Below are 15896 nucleotides of genomic sequence, written 5' to 3' on the forward strand. Positions count from 1 at the left end.
ATACTCTAGGTCTTCACCTCACTCCATTCAACCTACAAGTTAAAGACTAATCACACCTAGCTGAAAGCTCCTCACATAAGCTCCTTTACATAAGGTATGCTACAGAATCTGTAGTCAGTATAGGTGACGAGAAGCAGTAGAATCTAATGACTGAAAACACAAACCTTGGGTCTAGACTGCTTTGATGCAAATCTGGGCTTTATTACTTTTAACTATGTGGCCTCAACAAGTTCTTTAACTCTCCATCCCTCGATTTCCTCATTTGCCAATTAGGAATAAGATAGCCCCTTCCTTATGGAGTTTTTATAGGATATACAATAATGTTTATAGTTAGAAGCAATTAAATGAGTTAATACATGGGAGGCTTTCAGAACAGTGTCTGGCACAGTAAGGGCTTAATAAATGTTAGTAGTTATTATTAGGAAGATGATTATTTTTCTTGGTTCTCTGTAGATTTTGGAATAAATTCATACATTCCTGTTTGAACTGAATTTATTTACTTTGAAGTAGACACCTATTATGTTCTGAATGTTTTAAGTGTAGCTTACTTGCCTTTCCTGATTTCTAGTAGACTTGGAATCATAAAAATCAATCCTTGATTATTGTCTTAAATGGCATATTGTTAATAATTGTTAATTTTTAAAATATATTTTAAAAGTATAGCTATGTTCATTTAGACTTGTTTTTCATAACTAGTTATCATGAATATTTGAGATTTTATGCGTGATTTTATTTTTAAAGAGCAAAGGTTCTATCTTACCAATTGTATATATAGAAAGAACATGAGGTTCATTTTTTAGTTTTAATTATTGGGGAGTCAAGCAAGTGTTTTCCAAATTAATTGATTTTAACATAATTATTTATTTACACCTTTAGTTTAAAACTCACTGATTTTATTTCCAGTTGAACGTATCAATATAGACAAATATTATCAAAGCCTATTGGTAATGTTCTCCAATCAAATGCTTTGTGGGATCTCAGAAAAGATGTTAACTCAAGGGCACTTCACAAGAAAGTGATCCTGTGTCGAACATTAATCTATTTCATAGATAATAGATGTGCTGCTCTAAAGCCAAAAAATAGCAATGTTCATTAAATATAAATTTGTTTCTAAACATTAATAGACATTTATTAGATCACAACACTACCTGAGAGACAATTAAATGAAACTTTTATGCTAGAAAAGTTTCCTATTAAAATTACCCTAGAGAGATTGTCTTCTAACTTAGCATCAAGTTATGTATTTAAAATATAATTATAAGGGGAAGTGCCTTTTTTACTTCAGTGATAAAAAAATAAATATTATTTGCCAGTGTTTCAGATGATGTGTTGAGATTTAGCATTTCATTGCTTGAAACATGTTTTGGGTAACCTTAAAATTAAGGTTAACCATAAAATTCACTGAAGATAAATAAGTCTTCCTTGCTCTGATCTCTCTGAAACTTATGTAGGGTATTGCAGGGAAGAAATGAGGGAAGAATGGAGGCATGACTCAAAGTTCTAGTGCAAGTGTCACTTTATACCTGAACTACTCTCCCTACTCCCAATTTGATTCAACTTTTTACTGTATCTTCCGTGCCCATCCTATGTTTTTTTCCGTTTTCCCTCCTGACTTTTGTTTACTTCCACACTGACAAGACATTACAGTGATATTTCTACAACTTGAAAAATTGTTGACTTAACGTTCTTCAAATAATCTATTAATTTAAATCACATGCTGGACTTATAGGTCATTGTGAACTCCCACCATACTAACTCTGGCAAATATTGTTACTGACACAGATTGCTTAAGGTATTTTTCTTTTCTCTCCATTTTCTCCTATGTACCATGACCAATTTAATCTTCTAAAAGCATGGTATTTACAATGGACCTTCTGATTCTATCCCCTTTTCTAGTTGACCACTCACAATCTTTTATCGAATGTTCTTCTATCCCACTTACCACTAAATGCAATCTCATTTACCATTTATGACCCCACTTTTAAATATAAATCCTTCACTAAATGAGAACAAGAATTTTTCTCATTAATCGAATGCCTACTCTTGCCAGGAAGCTTTATAGCTTCTTATATATATTACCTTTATTTAAGCCTTAAACCACCTGGTAAAATAAGTATTAAATTCAGATGTGAACATTAGGGTATAGAAAATTTAAGTAATCTGCTTATGTCATACAGCTCACAACTCAAAGAGAAAGGACTTAAAACTGTCCTTTTCACACTCTAAAGCTCCTATTATGTCCTGTATTCATGCTGCTTCTCATGACCCAGACTTTTTGATGTTTTATACTTGAAAACAGTAGCTTAGTTTAAAAAAAAAAATCTATGCAGATATAAAGGACTAGGAAAATATGGCTACATTCAGTTCTAGGTCAAGGTAAATACATATTTATTATAGACGAAATTTCTTCCAAGTTGTGTTTGACTTGAATGTGTTATAAAATATACATCTATCCAGATAAGTCATTACTGCCAGATGCAGAACAATACCATTCTATCTAAAAGTGCTGTAATTATCTGGAATCAATATTTGATCTCAAATAGCATAATGACTGCTAAGCTGTGTTATGCAAATCTGGAACTCTGACAAAAATATTATACTAAAAAATGCAAAAGCTGCATTTTTTTCTGTGATGTCACTATCTAAATAATAGTTTATTAATATACTGATTCATTTAACACCTCTATTGATTCAGGCTCCTCATATCAAACCAAAGATATTTAAAAAATTGAATTTGCAACAAAATGTTTGAATATTTAGGAGCAATATAGAGGATTATAACAGTTTTGGGGATATATTTGCTGTAAATATTTACCCCCACTCTTAAAAGACAATACTTGGAGTAATTTATATGTGTTGATATATTTTGTGCCTTTAACTATTATAAATTTCATGATTTGCAACCAATCAAAATGAATTTATATTCCTTGGTATAGCCTTCAAAATATTTCCTATTCCACCCTAATAGATTCTTCCTATTACTGTCTACTGCTCCTCACTTCTTCCTGAGAAACCAGATGACTTGCAGTTCTGCAACACGCTGCCTTTTTCCACCTCTTTACCTTTACCATAGCAACTCTTAATCCAAAACGTTCTTCCTCCACCTACTGTTGAGTGAGATCTTAGCCATTCTTCAAATTATAGCACAATTACCACTCTCACAGATCTTCCAGATCTTTCAAGCTGTGTTATCTCCTCGGTTTTTTTCAACTCTCTTCTTCTTTATCAAATTTGGATTTATATTTTACCACTTGTATTTACTGCATTATCTCATCTTCATTCTCTTCCTCATTGTTTCCTTCTCTTCCTCATTGTTTCCTTCTCCTCTTTCACTGGTTCTTCCTCCTCCTTCTTTAATGCAGGAATTATGCCTTGTATATCTTACCATAACCCCATGACCAAACACAGTGCATACTTGTAATAAATTAACAAAGAAACACACATGTAAATTTGTTGAATTAAATGTTTCTTGAAAATATTAAAGAAGATGATTGAAAGTTTGTCCTCTATGAATTTCCAAAGGGTGTTAGCACTATTTAAGAAAGTATTCATGATTAGAACATTTAACTCATTGTTGCTGCTGACTAAACTCAGTGGTTAAATGCTTTCTTCATACTTATTTAATATAAGGTTATTTGACCCCCTCAATATTGAAAAAAAAAAAAGAAAAGATCCTTGAGTCTTACTGTAAGTGCCTTGGTTTTCAGAAACTCTGAAACCAAGAGTTTCAGGAGAAACTCTATGAATAATGGGAGGACCCAAACTAATGATGCTTTACAATTCCATAGTGTATTCACATGCACTCTGTAAATTGAGAAACAATACATGTAATTTTTCAAGAAAACAAGAAAACCTTAAAGGAGAAGCATATGTGTAGGTTTCAGACATTGTAAATTATAGCTAAAATTTACAAAACATAATATATTTTACTGAGTTCAAACTCCTTTAAAACTCATTTTGCTTTTGCCCAATGATGATCATACCAAATATATTAACATTTGATAGGATGGTGATGGAAAGAACCTGTGTTATATTCAGGGAATTTTTCTTCTTGCTGTCCTACTCTTTTCCTCTGGGTTAATTGTATCATAGAGCTCTCATTCACATCAGAAGGAGTCTTCCATGTAGAACCACTTTTGGAACGATAATTTTTTTGTGAGAGATGTCCTCTGTCACTTCGTAGGGCATGGATTATGAAGCATTGCTGTAATGTACCTATGATTCTGCAATATTGTAAAATAATGGAAATACTGGAATCTTGAATTGAATAATAAGCATTTAAGTCCCTCACCTAAGCATTTATGCATAATTACTCTAGTTAAAATATATTTTCTAGTTTTACTAAGTTAAATTTCTAAGAAATGCTTGGCTATCTTTGGTTACTATGGACAGATATTATTTACAAAGGTAGAGAGCTATGTGCACACAAATCACGATTACTTTGTTGCTCTGATATCAGATATTTTCTTTACTTGTTAATGAAGTGACAAATGATTAAATAAAACAACTGGTTATTCTTCTTTGTAATTTATATCATTTCTTTTTCATTATTTTTGTAGACACAGGGTGTTGCTTTGTTGACCAAGCTGGTCTTGAACTCCTGGCCTCAAGCAATATTCCCCGCTTGATATCCCAAAGTGTTGGGATTACAGGCATGAGCCACGATGCCTGTCCTTATTTCTTTTCTCCATACGTCAGTGTTATATTATTTTTACCATTTTATCAAGGTGCCAAATTATACCTTGATACAATTTTATGCCACGTTACTATAAATTAATTTTATATCATTAAAAAGGTACTTTATGGAGAAGGCTTGTTTTGATTTTTAAACCAAAATGGTTTTAAATTTTTCAAATTTTAAAGTCCAAATACTAACCCTGGAAGAACACAGATAACACCCAAGTGATAATTCTGAATGCTCCTAAAGTAAGTTGTAAGGTCATAGCTATGATTTCCCTCTATGGAACAATGAAAAAAACAAACAAACAAACAAACAAACAAAAACATTGCTTAATGGGAAACTCCTGTATTACAATTAGCAATTAGGCTATAGGTCTATATACCAATTCACCATTACAATAATGCCAAATGGCATTTTTTATATTTCGTATGTGCCAAACATGTCAGAAAACATTGGCCTCCAAAAAGTATATGACAAATATGAGTAAATATGCAAAATAAGTTATGGATTGATAAAAATCTGTAAAGTCAATATTGAAGTAGAATTTGTAGTTATAATTTATAACAAGTGAAAAGTTAAGAGTTGGGGAAATTTAAACATTTATAAACAAGATATAGTTTCTTGTCTATGATATTATGATGGAAAAGGTACAATCATATTCAGTATACTTTGGGGAATGTTTGAGAGTAAATTGTCTTACAGAAATGTGATTTAAGAGTAGCTAACACATTCCCAGGATAAGCAGTTTTGAGACTCTAATGTTAACCTCTGTTTGGTGTATAGAAAGGAAGCTAATATACGATAGAAATATAAATTTTTAGCATGATTTGAAAAGAAGAGAATATTAAAAAATAAAACTGGGGAAACAATTATGACACCAGAATTCAAGATGAAAGTTTCCAGAAAATAAAATCAATGTCTCCCATTTAGAAGACTTACTTTTGTTGAAAGGAATAACAAAAAAATTTGAAATTCTTTTAGAGTATAATTGTGTTAGATTTGAATAAAAATTAGCATAGGTAATAAGTAAGGAAGTTTCCAAGTAGTTGATGAGGGAAGACTTTAGTTATTTAAGCTTTTTGTAGAATTTCTTTCCATACTGTATTCTTTTGTAACTTTTAGTGGAACTCATGTCAAATAACACAACTTTAAAATTCTAAATGTAAACATTATTGATGCAAATTAGGTCATTTTAATCAACTTTACTTTTAAATTTTGGATATTGTGAAGAATAGTGAACTTAGTTTTGTTTTAAGACAGATAACCACTAAGATTTTTATAAGAAAAGAAATTTGTTTGGTGAAGTTAATGACAACACTTCAATGGAAAAATCATCATAAAATGTTTTCTTTTAAAAAACTGTTATAATTCAGAGTGGTGATATATATTTCTGTAGGTTATGAGAAATCTATTAGCTATTAAAACATATTGTATAATTATTGCAAGTTTATTATATATATCCTCTAATTAGCACAGTATTGGAGTTGTGAGTAAGAGAGAGGCAGGCGGTGAGGCTGGAATGTGAGAACGTCACCCTCTTCAAATAATAGCTTTTATTCTTATAAATTCCGTTTCCCACCTCTATTTACATTATAATTATGGAAACAAATCCCTATGCCTAAATCAAATGTCAAATGTCCGAGTAGAGATGGCTCTATGTCCTGCTGCAATACCTTAGAAGAAATCATTGTTAATAACTAATAGAAATGTACTTCCTTATTCTTTCTATAAAATAACTTTCACCCATTGTTTCAACATTGTAAAATATGTATCATATGAAATAAATGATTCCAGTTGTAATTGAAGCCAGAGTTAACAATAGCAATACTCCTCTTTCACTATGGAAATAATTTTCTCTCCTCCTCTGAAAAATGCGCCACTGTAATTAGGGTGGTGTCCTGAAAAGCACCACCCGTTGTGTGTTCTTTGTCCTCTCTTCTCTGCGTGCTTTCCTGCCTGCCTCATGTATCCATGCTGTTCCGGGTTCTCCACTCTTCACAATCAAATAATGTTTCATTTAAGCAAGGCCTAAGTCTTCTTTGGAAATCCCGTGTTGTACCCTTCCTTTGCACAATTAACGTTCCTAATTATTTTCATCCATTTTCTTCTTTATTTGTGCCATAGAGGAAAGAGCACTAATGTTGAAGTAATTTTGGCTTGAAATTCTAGACACATAACATGTCTGATTTTCCTTCTCAGTAAACATGGAACAATGTTATCTGCTTTATATATTTATATGGATAATTACATTAGGAAATTTGTGTAATATCTAGCACAATGTGTAGCATGTGATAAGTACTTAAAGGAAGGTTAATTCTTCTCTATCTTGTGACTTCATTTACTTTACTGTGTCCTGTTTTTTTTTTTTTTTCACTACAGTATGGGTTGTGAGAAAAACTGTTCTGCTAATTTGCATTTTCTATAAAATCTACTGTGGTAGAAATTTAGTATACATGTTTGAGAAAATGAATAAATAATTCATCTAGATGGCAGCTCATAATTTCTTCCAGTAATGAAATGCTATATATACATTTACTTTCTATTTTTGTGTATGCACGTGTATGTGTATCTGTATGTGTGTGTATACATACATCTCCTGATACCAACTTTTGACTCTCGTATACTCCATGGTCACAGAGGAAGGCAAAAAAGGCACAGAAAAAGAATGTTGAGGTTTGTTAGGATAGAGCATTGTGATCTTGTTCATGAATCTGACAATTGTCTGTCCACTTCAATATCCCTCTTCAAGTAGCTGTCAGTTATTTTGTGCATGTTAAATAATGTAATTTTAAATTAGTAATTGCTTTCAAAATTTCTTTTCTGAGTTATACACTTATGACAATTGAGAATAGATTTTCAGGTTTTCTTGTGAGTCAGAGTTGGGTAAGAGAAAACAAAATGAAAATGTTGCCATGATTCCTTTTCACTTAGTTTCTGTTTTATCTCAACCAAATATTTCGTTTCTTGTCAATGCTTTCTCTATTTGTAAAGGTAAAATATTATGAGATTATCTAGAATGAGCTTTGTTTCCCATAATATCAATGAAATTAAAGAGAAAACTCTTTATATATATTGTGTCCATATTTAGTACTGTAGGAGCCTATGTATACAATAGTAATCAATAAATATTTTTTAGTTAAATTATCAAATGATCTTGCTTCTTATGGATTCACATTGAAAGGATGAGTAGGTTAAAATAATTGCTAATGCTATAGCACCTACCACATGCCAGCACTGTTCTTGGCTATTATTACGTATTTTATATAATTAAAAATTACAAATTTTAACTCATTTAATGTTCATAGAACCATATGAATTAAGTAATATCACCCTACCCATTACACAGATAAAAAATGGAGATGCTATAGTTAAATGACCATCGACAGGAGAACTGAGATGCTATATAGTTAAATGACTTGCCCAACGTAGTAGAACAGTAATTGAGATCAGGTTGTCTGGCTCCAGAATGCGTGCTCTTAACTACCATGCCGTAAATAACAATATCAAAACATCTGATAAATTTGTGTAATTTTTGCCTTTTAGTAAAGACTTTGGTTTTTATTTTGACAGAATGAAGTGTATTAATACATTCATCAGTAAACAATTTTGAATATCCCTTTTGAGAAGATTTTAAAATTTAATTCTAAAACTCTGAAATTATTGAAAATATGTATCAATCTCCAAGACAAAAAAAAGAAAAGAAAGACAGAAAGAATGAAAGAAAAAAGGAAGGAAGGGAGGGAGGAGGAAGGAAGGAAGGAAGGAAGGGGAAGGGAAGGGAAGGAAGGGGAAGGGAAGAGAATGGAAGGAAGAAAGGAAGGAAGGAAGGCCCAATTTGTGCTTGATTGATCAGTTTGAAAGGTGCTGATTGTAAAAGATGGTGTCTTCAGGATTTGGATTATGTTTCTTTAGTATTTTGGTTTCCTAAGATAAATCTTGGGAAGACTTGAAGAGGAGGCAACTACACTAGTTTGGTTCAATAAAGTTACTTTTTCAGTGCTTAAAGTTATTAATATTTGACACCTCTAGGCAAGATTCCTCATCTTGAATTGTACAATCCTGGAGAATAGGTTGCATGTTTTCTTCAATATTCTATTCCATGTTTCTAGACCACTGCTTTGTATTTTAGTGAGCATTCAATTAACCTCTGTTGAATGAATGATGTTCGAACTGCATTTTAATTTAGTTTGTATCTATATGCTTACTGTTAAAAACAAGCTATTTAGAATAACATAAATGAAACATAAATGAAAATGAAATTTCGGGCATAATAATCTGTCTTTAATCATCGTACATTGTTATTTAGATAATACTTTGCCTTGATTTTCAGTACTGAATGAAGCTTTTGACATTCAAACAAAGAGTAACATCTTTTGTAAACATAAATCTATGATGTTCACAGATTTACAGAGATGTTTAGAAAAGTAATGTAGTTAATATGTAGAATAATTTCTGAATGAATATTGCAGCCTGAGATGAAAGTAAGACATATATTTACCTTTTGTTTTAAACTTATTTATGGTAACAGTGATGAATTAAATATTTTACTATTCTAATGTTAGTGAAATTATACTGTGGTATAATTATACTGTGGTATAACCCCATGGGGCTTACTTTGTGTAAGCTTTACCATGGTATAATATATATGTATTTTTAGCCAGGCGCAGTGGCTCATGCCTGTAATCCCAGCACTTTGGGAGGCCGAGGCGGGTGGATCACCTGAGGTCGGGAGTTCAAGACCAGCCTGACCAACATGGAGAAACCCCCTCTCTGCTAAAAATACAAAATTAGCTGGGGTGAAGCTACCCGGGAGGCTGAGGCAGGAGAATCGCGTGAACCCGGGAGGCAGAGGTTGCAGTGAGCCGAGATCGTGCCATTGCACTCCAGCCTGGGCAAAAACAGCGAAATTCCATTTCAAAAAAAAGAAAGAAAAGGCCGGGCGTGGTGGCTCACGCCTGTAATCCCTGCACTTTGGGAGGCCCAGGATGGCGGATCACGAGGTCAGGAGATCGAGACCATCCTGGCTAACACGGTGAAACCCCATCTCTACTAAAAATACAAAAATTTAGCCTGGCCTGGTGGTGGGCGCTTGTAGTCCCAGCTACTCAGGAGGCTGAGGAAGGAGAATGGCGTGAACCCGGGAGGCGGAGCTTGCAGTGAGCCGAGATCGCGCCACTGCACTCCAGCCGGGGCGACAGAGCGAGACTCCATCTTAAAAAAAAAAAAAAAATCAGTATATTTCAGTTAATTTGCTCAGTAGAGACTGAATTGTTTATTTCATTAAGATCTGAGGCCAGGATATTAACATGATGGCAATATATGTATTGTATAAATAATGTCTTTGGATTACTTACTTATTTTATACAATAACCCTTTTTTTTTTCTTTTTTGCAGGTTTCAGATTTGGGATATTGGTGTTTCTGTTTTGGAGAAATTATTCTTTTTCTTTTTAATTTGAAGAAAAATCATCAGTCTTGGAATACAGAAGAGAAACTAGAAATATACGTATTTTGTTTCACATTTGAACAGTCATTCTTGAGGAATACTCCATACCTGAGTAGACAGCCATGTGGCCATCGCAGCTACTAATTTTCATGATGCTCTTAGCTCCAATAATTCATGGTAAGATTTTTCAGATTTTTGTGTAATGCTTAATGTTGTCTCACTTATTCATACTGGACACTTCCTTGGGATCTTTTCTCTGAGACTGCTTTGTAGTTTTTCCTTATCATATGTTAGTATGAGTAAGTTAAAATAAAAGAACATAATGTGTATTTCCTTTTCTTTTCTTTTTTTTTTTTTTTTTTCAGTCAGAGCCTCGCACTGTCACCCAGGCTCGAGTGCGGTGGCACGATCTCGGCTTACTGCAACCTCTGTCTCCTGGGTTCACGCCATTCTCCTGCCTCAGCCTCCTGAGTAGCTGGGACTACAGGCGCCCACCACCACGCCTGGCTAATTTTTTTTTTTTTTTGTATTTTTAGTAGAGACGGGGTTTCACAGTGTTAGCCAGGATGGTCTCGATTTCCTGACCTCGTGACCCGCCCTCCTTGGCCTCCCAAAGTGCTGGGATTACAGGCGTGAGCCACCGCGCCCAGCCCATAATGTGTATTTTAAGCTGAAATAGTTATGAGTTTCCAGTTGCATTTCTTAAAGTGCCTATTGAAATGTATTTAAAACCAAAAGGCTTTTTAAAAAGAGCTCTTGCATTTTATTTTTAGTCTTTACTACACTTTTGGAAAATCAGCTGAAATATTAATTATCTCATTTATTGTGAATTTTTTGGCTTGCATAGTTTCATACTTAAAAAAACATTTTTAATGTAGTAAATTTGGGCATTTGAAAGAAAACTCCAAAAGTAAAATCCCACTTATTCAAAAGTATCTGCTTTCCAAAACCAAGTAATTATTTTTTCTCTGAGTATTTACTACTCTGCACAATCTTTAATATACAGAACACAAACTATAACCTCCCAATAAAGGGAAATTGTTTTGGTACTATACCTTGAAATGCAAAAACACAAACAAATAAAAAATCAAAAGAACGGCTGGGCACCATGGTTCACACCTGTAACCCCAGCACTTTAGGAGGCCGAGTTGGGCAGATCACAAGGTCAAGAGATCGAGACCATCCTGGCTAACACCGTGAAACCCCGTCTCTACTAAAAATACAAAGAAATTAGCTGGGCAGGTGGTGGATGCCTGTAGTCCCAGCTACTCGGGAGGCTGAGGCAGGAGAATGGCGTAAACCCGGGAGGCAAAGCTTACAGTGACCCAAGATCGTGCCACTGCATTCCAGCCTGGGTGACAGAACGAGACTCTGTCTCAAAAAAAAAATGAAAACATACACAATAACAAAATAATATTAATGTGTGTTTTCACTTTTTAAAGAAAGGTGTGATTATGGAAACATGCTAATATACTTAATAGACATGTATACTTAATGTTGTTCATTTAGACATCTTTGTATTTATAGCAGAAATATGATAGTTTAGAAAGGATGTACCTTTGCAAATTTTATAAAATATATCACATTATTTAATATATAAGCGAGACATTTATATTCTGTACAACTTAGAGTAATATTCACTGAATCTCTCTCAAACCTGGTAAATTAAAGTCTATATGTATGTTCCTCTTACACAATTTAATGTTTTTGGCTAATTATCATTGATTTTTTTCACTAAGATGAAAATGTTGTAATATAGTCACTCTCTCATATGTTGATGATAATTATAGCAAAGAAAAAAGGACACAGCTGTATTTGCCACTGCTTAGGTCTCAGAATATTATAGTGTAGCAAGCAGCTGAAATGAATTTTTAGCCTCTTTAGCTCACTTTTGGTTTTTAATTGATTACAGAAACCCATTGTAGTTCGTCAGTGATGCAATTCTGAATCTGGCCTGTGTTCTTAAGTTTTAACATGCATTGCATTTTGCTGTCATTCTAAATACTGGGTAAAATAACTTCCTTTGACGTTTTCCTCTAAAGTTCCCTGGATGCAACATATTTAGTTCTAACAATTCACTATATTATAAGGTAGAGATGTTTGTAAAAGGGGAGTATCCTACTTATTCAACAATCTCAACCATCTTGTTTTAAGCAAATTTGTTTAAAATTTCAAAATCTTTTCTTAATTCATATACTTATACATTCACATTCTCTGCATGGGCACATATAACATTTTGTGATGTGGGAAAATAAAAATAATTATGTTACTTGAGACAATGCTTTTCTAATTATCCATATATGTAAAGATGACTTAAATTAGATTTTTTATGTGATAAAAATTCCTCCCTTATAATGTTATTTTGAGAATAAAATAAATAGCATATGTAAATAATGTAGTACAGTGCATAGAAAATATTAAGTGCTTGAACATGTGAATTTCCTTCATCATATAATCTATCCCTCTAGTTAATTTTTGTTCCAGTAAATTATAACAACCAGGAATTAGCTAGCCATAAAAGCTGATATATTTAATGTTGATACTAAGGAAAAAAAGAAAAATACCTACATATATATTTACACACACACAATTCGTATTCAAAAGATCAATCTAAAATTACCTTTGTTAGAGAAAATTAGGTTAAAAATAGCAGAAACAGACATTGTAAGAAAGATTCCTTTTTCAGAACTAAAATTCCTGGTCCCTAAAACTGACACATACTATGTATTTCAGTGGACCCCTAAATGTGGCTGAGCCATGGGTCTTGGGTCTTGGTTTGGGAACTGATAGTCTGCATTGAAATCACACACACACAGACACACACACACACACACACACACACATACACACACAGAAACAGAGAGAGAGAGAGAGAGAGAGAGAGAGAGAGAGAATATCTCCAAGTAATTCTTAGAAGTATTAAATCAATCCCTAGTATAATAATAGGACACATAAAAGACTAACCTGGTAGGTAAAATACTCTGGGTTAAAAAAATAAAATAATCATTTCCATTTTATGTGGACTATTCAATATTATCTTGAGTTTTGAACCATAGAGGACAAAACAATATAGAAGCTTTTTACTTATAAACTTTATCCTTTATTTTAAAACTTTGTACCTGAGAAAATACAAGTTGGTTTTGTCTTCCTTCTTTAAGAAGGCTTTTTCTTTTGCCTTTGTGATACCACTTCTGACTTGTGAATGAAGGGCTTTATAAGCAGCCTTTTGGAACCTAACTTGCTCATAAATAGAAAAATGTACCTTTGATCAAGTGCTGAAATATAATAGGATAGGAATTTTTAGAGTCCCTATCAATCCTGGCTTAAGAGAATACTGCATAACTTGAAACCTTAGATGACTGGGTTAAAATGTATGTCACAGTTATAGAAGTACTTTTGGTTCCAACATGTCCTCTGCTGACGTCTCCTTGCTACTGTTATTGAGATGTCCAGAATTTTTGCCCTCTTGACCATTGGGAATTAATTCTTCTGGGTAATGATCTGAATTGCTATCCCTTTCCTCAGAGAAAATAATGATGATGACTACTGATTTTATAGCCATAAACTTTAGATGTTTTAGTTCACTTAATATTCACTATAATTGCATGGGTTTATTTTTCATTATTTGTTATTATCATAATCACTATCTTTACAGGTAAAGACATTGAGGTACACAGTGGTAAAGTAAATTGAGATCACACAGCTACTAAGGGACACAGAGGGAATTTAAAATCAAGGACTTGGCTTTTGAGCTCTGCTCTTGCTGGCAGTAGATATCCAATTCCTATCAAGGCCATTCCTCTTTACATAGAATCTCATCTCAACTCTCCTAGTCACTTGGGAGCAGGTGAGGCAGAAACATTGACCATCTGCCTCTTCCATGTTCTTGGGACAGACAGACTGTGGTTCTGAAGCCTGACAGACCAGAGATGAAATTCCAGCTCTGCCACCTACTGGCTCTGTAATCCTGTTTATCTGTCAACTGGTTAATAAATATCATTAATTTACCCACTACAAGCCAGAAAACTGCTAGATGTACTAAAGACAGGACAGTGAACAACAGACTTGTATTTCTTCCCTCATTGAGCTTACAGTAACCTAAAAATGTGTAGCTTAATATAATTTTTATCTGTAAAAATGAACATTTATTCCTTGCAGAGCTATTTTAAGAAATGAATGCAAGGATGTATAACTTCTAACATGGTGCTTTGGCATTTGATAAACCTTTCATTTTTTTCCCCTGCTCCTTTCTTACCTTGAAATAGTGGTAAACCCCTGAGCACTAGGTAAGGAAAATAAGTAATTACTGTTATTCTAACCCTGAGAATGGAAAGAAATCTTTTTCTACTCAAACCTCAGTATCTATGTTTTGCCAAACATTTCTAAATACTAGCATCTAAACAAAATTATTGTCAATATTACTAATATCTAAATAAAATTATTCTCACTATGTAGGAATGTTTAAACTACTATTTTAATTGGTTATATATAATTGTTAGTGTTATACTTTTGCATAATCTCTACATGAACAAAATCAGAGACTAAGCTAAAGAATTAATTCTGATAATGTTTAGGTTAGTTGAATAATCCCCACTTGCTCTAAATAGTCTGGTCCATGTTTTGTATAGAAAAACAAAACAAGTACATCAATATCACATAAATATGTACAATTTTTTAAATTAGGAAATGTCCCTGCTTCTATGTTTATCTGTCCATATTCTGTGTCTCTGTGTACTTCTGTATTTCTCTTTTTCTGTTTTCCATGACTGTGTCCCCTTCCTGTAGAGCCATAATATCCTTATCTATAATGCAATGAGACCTGGCAGAAGTAAAGAGGAGCAGCTGAAGCAGATGGCCAGTTCTTTGCTCTGTACTACTGTAGTGTTGCATGAAGATAAAGGATTCTTTTTGTTGTTGTTCTGTTGATGTGGTTGGGAGCAAGGGAAAATAAGGAAATTGGAGAGCAAAACCCAGTAATAACGTAGGTACCTGGGGCTCATTTTGATAGGCAGTAAAGAAACATCAAGGTCCAATGTGGGACCTTGGGCTGGGAGATCTGTTCCTGGGAGGTAACTACACCTAAGCCCCAGATGATTGGGAGTTCAGAAGGTGATTCTGGTGCTCAAATATTTCAACTACATCTCAGCTTAATTGAACCTCACTTGTAAAAACTGAATCATAGTTGAAGAGGTACAAAGCAGGATCACTGGCACTTAAACTAGGAATAACGGCGAGCGGTATGTTTTATAGCGTCTTCACAGAAAAAGAAAACTGCAACGTAAAAAAAATGCTTGTAGAACCAGCTTATACATGTTTTTTTTTTTTTTTCTGCAATTCTATTGTTAAAGTTGCATCTGTATTTATATATTCAGGGACTTTACTGGTTAGCCTGCATTTTATCATGTGCAACAAATTACTTATAATAAACAGTTCTTAGTAGGGACAAAAGAATGATCAGATGCATATTTGTTTTTATATAATTTTCACTTTATTGTTAATCTCTGTTTACAATTAAAATACTAATGTCAATGATTTAAGATAATAGTCATATATTTTGTAACTTCAAAGATATGAAACTTGAAAAAGTACAAAATTACACTTAACTACATGGCATTTTATCATATAATTCTTTCTATGAAGATGTGTTTTATTAGTGGTGAAAGAGTCAGGTTGACTTCTAAGCTCTGCTTAACTTGGTTATTTTTAGAAATTAATCATCCTTGAAATGTTTATAACGCTTGCCAACCTAGGTAATTTGTAATATCTGCAG

The 15896-nt window shown here is 33.3% G+C and overlaps 1 protein-coding gene across 59 annotated transcripts in view; it reads left to right on the plus strand.

Moving 5' to 3' along the window:
* The window catches only part of ADGRL3 (adhesion G protein-coupled receptor L3), an 878010-nt gene that overhangs the window by 286720 nt on the left and 575394 nt on the right, over nucleotides 1-15896 (plus strand). For 58 of the 59 annotated variants that reach the window (NM_001387552.1, NM_001322402.3, NM_001387522.1 and 55 more), the window contains one exon: nucleotides 10076-10303. The exons of the other annotated variant lie outside the window; for it this stretch is intronic. In NM_001387552.1, coding sequence (NP_001374481.1) covers nucleotides 10249-10303 — 55 coding nt within the window. In that variant the 5' untranslated portion in view covers nucleotides 10076-10248. The remainder of the gene's footprint in view (nucleotides 1-10075; nucleotides 10304-15896) is intronic. 59 annotated transcript variants of the gene reach the window in all.

Source organism: Homo sapiens, chromosome 4 (assembly GCF_000001405.40).
Source record: "Homo sapiens chromosome 4, GRCh38.p14 Primary Assembly".
NCBI classification, from domain to species: Eukaryota; Metazoa; Chordata; class Mammalia; order Primates; family Hominidae; genus Homo; species Homo sapiens.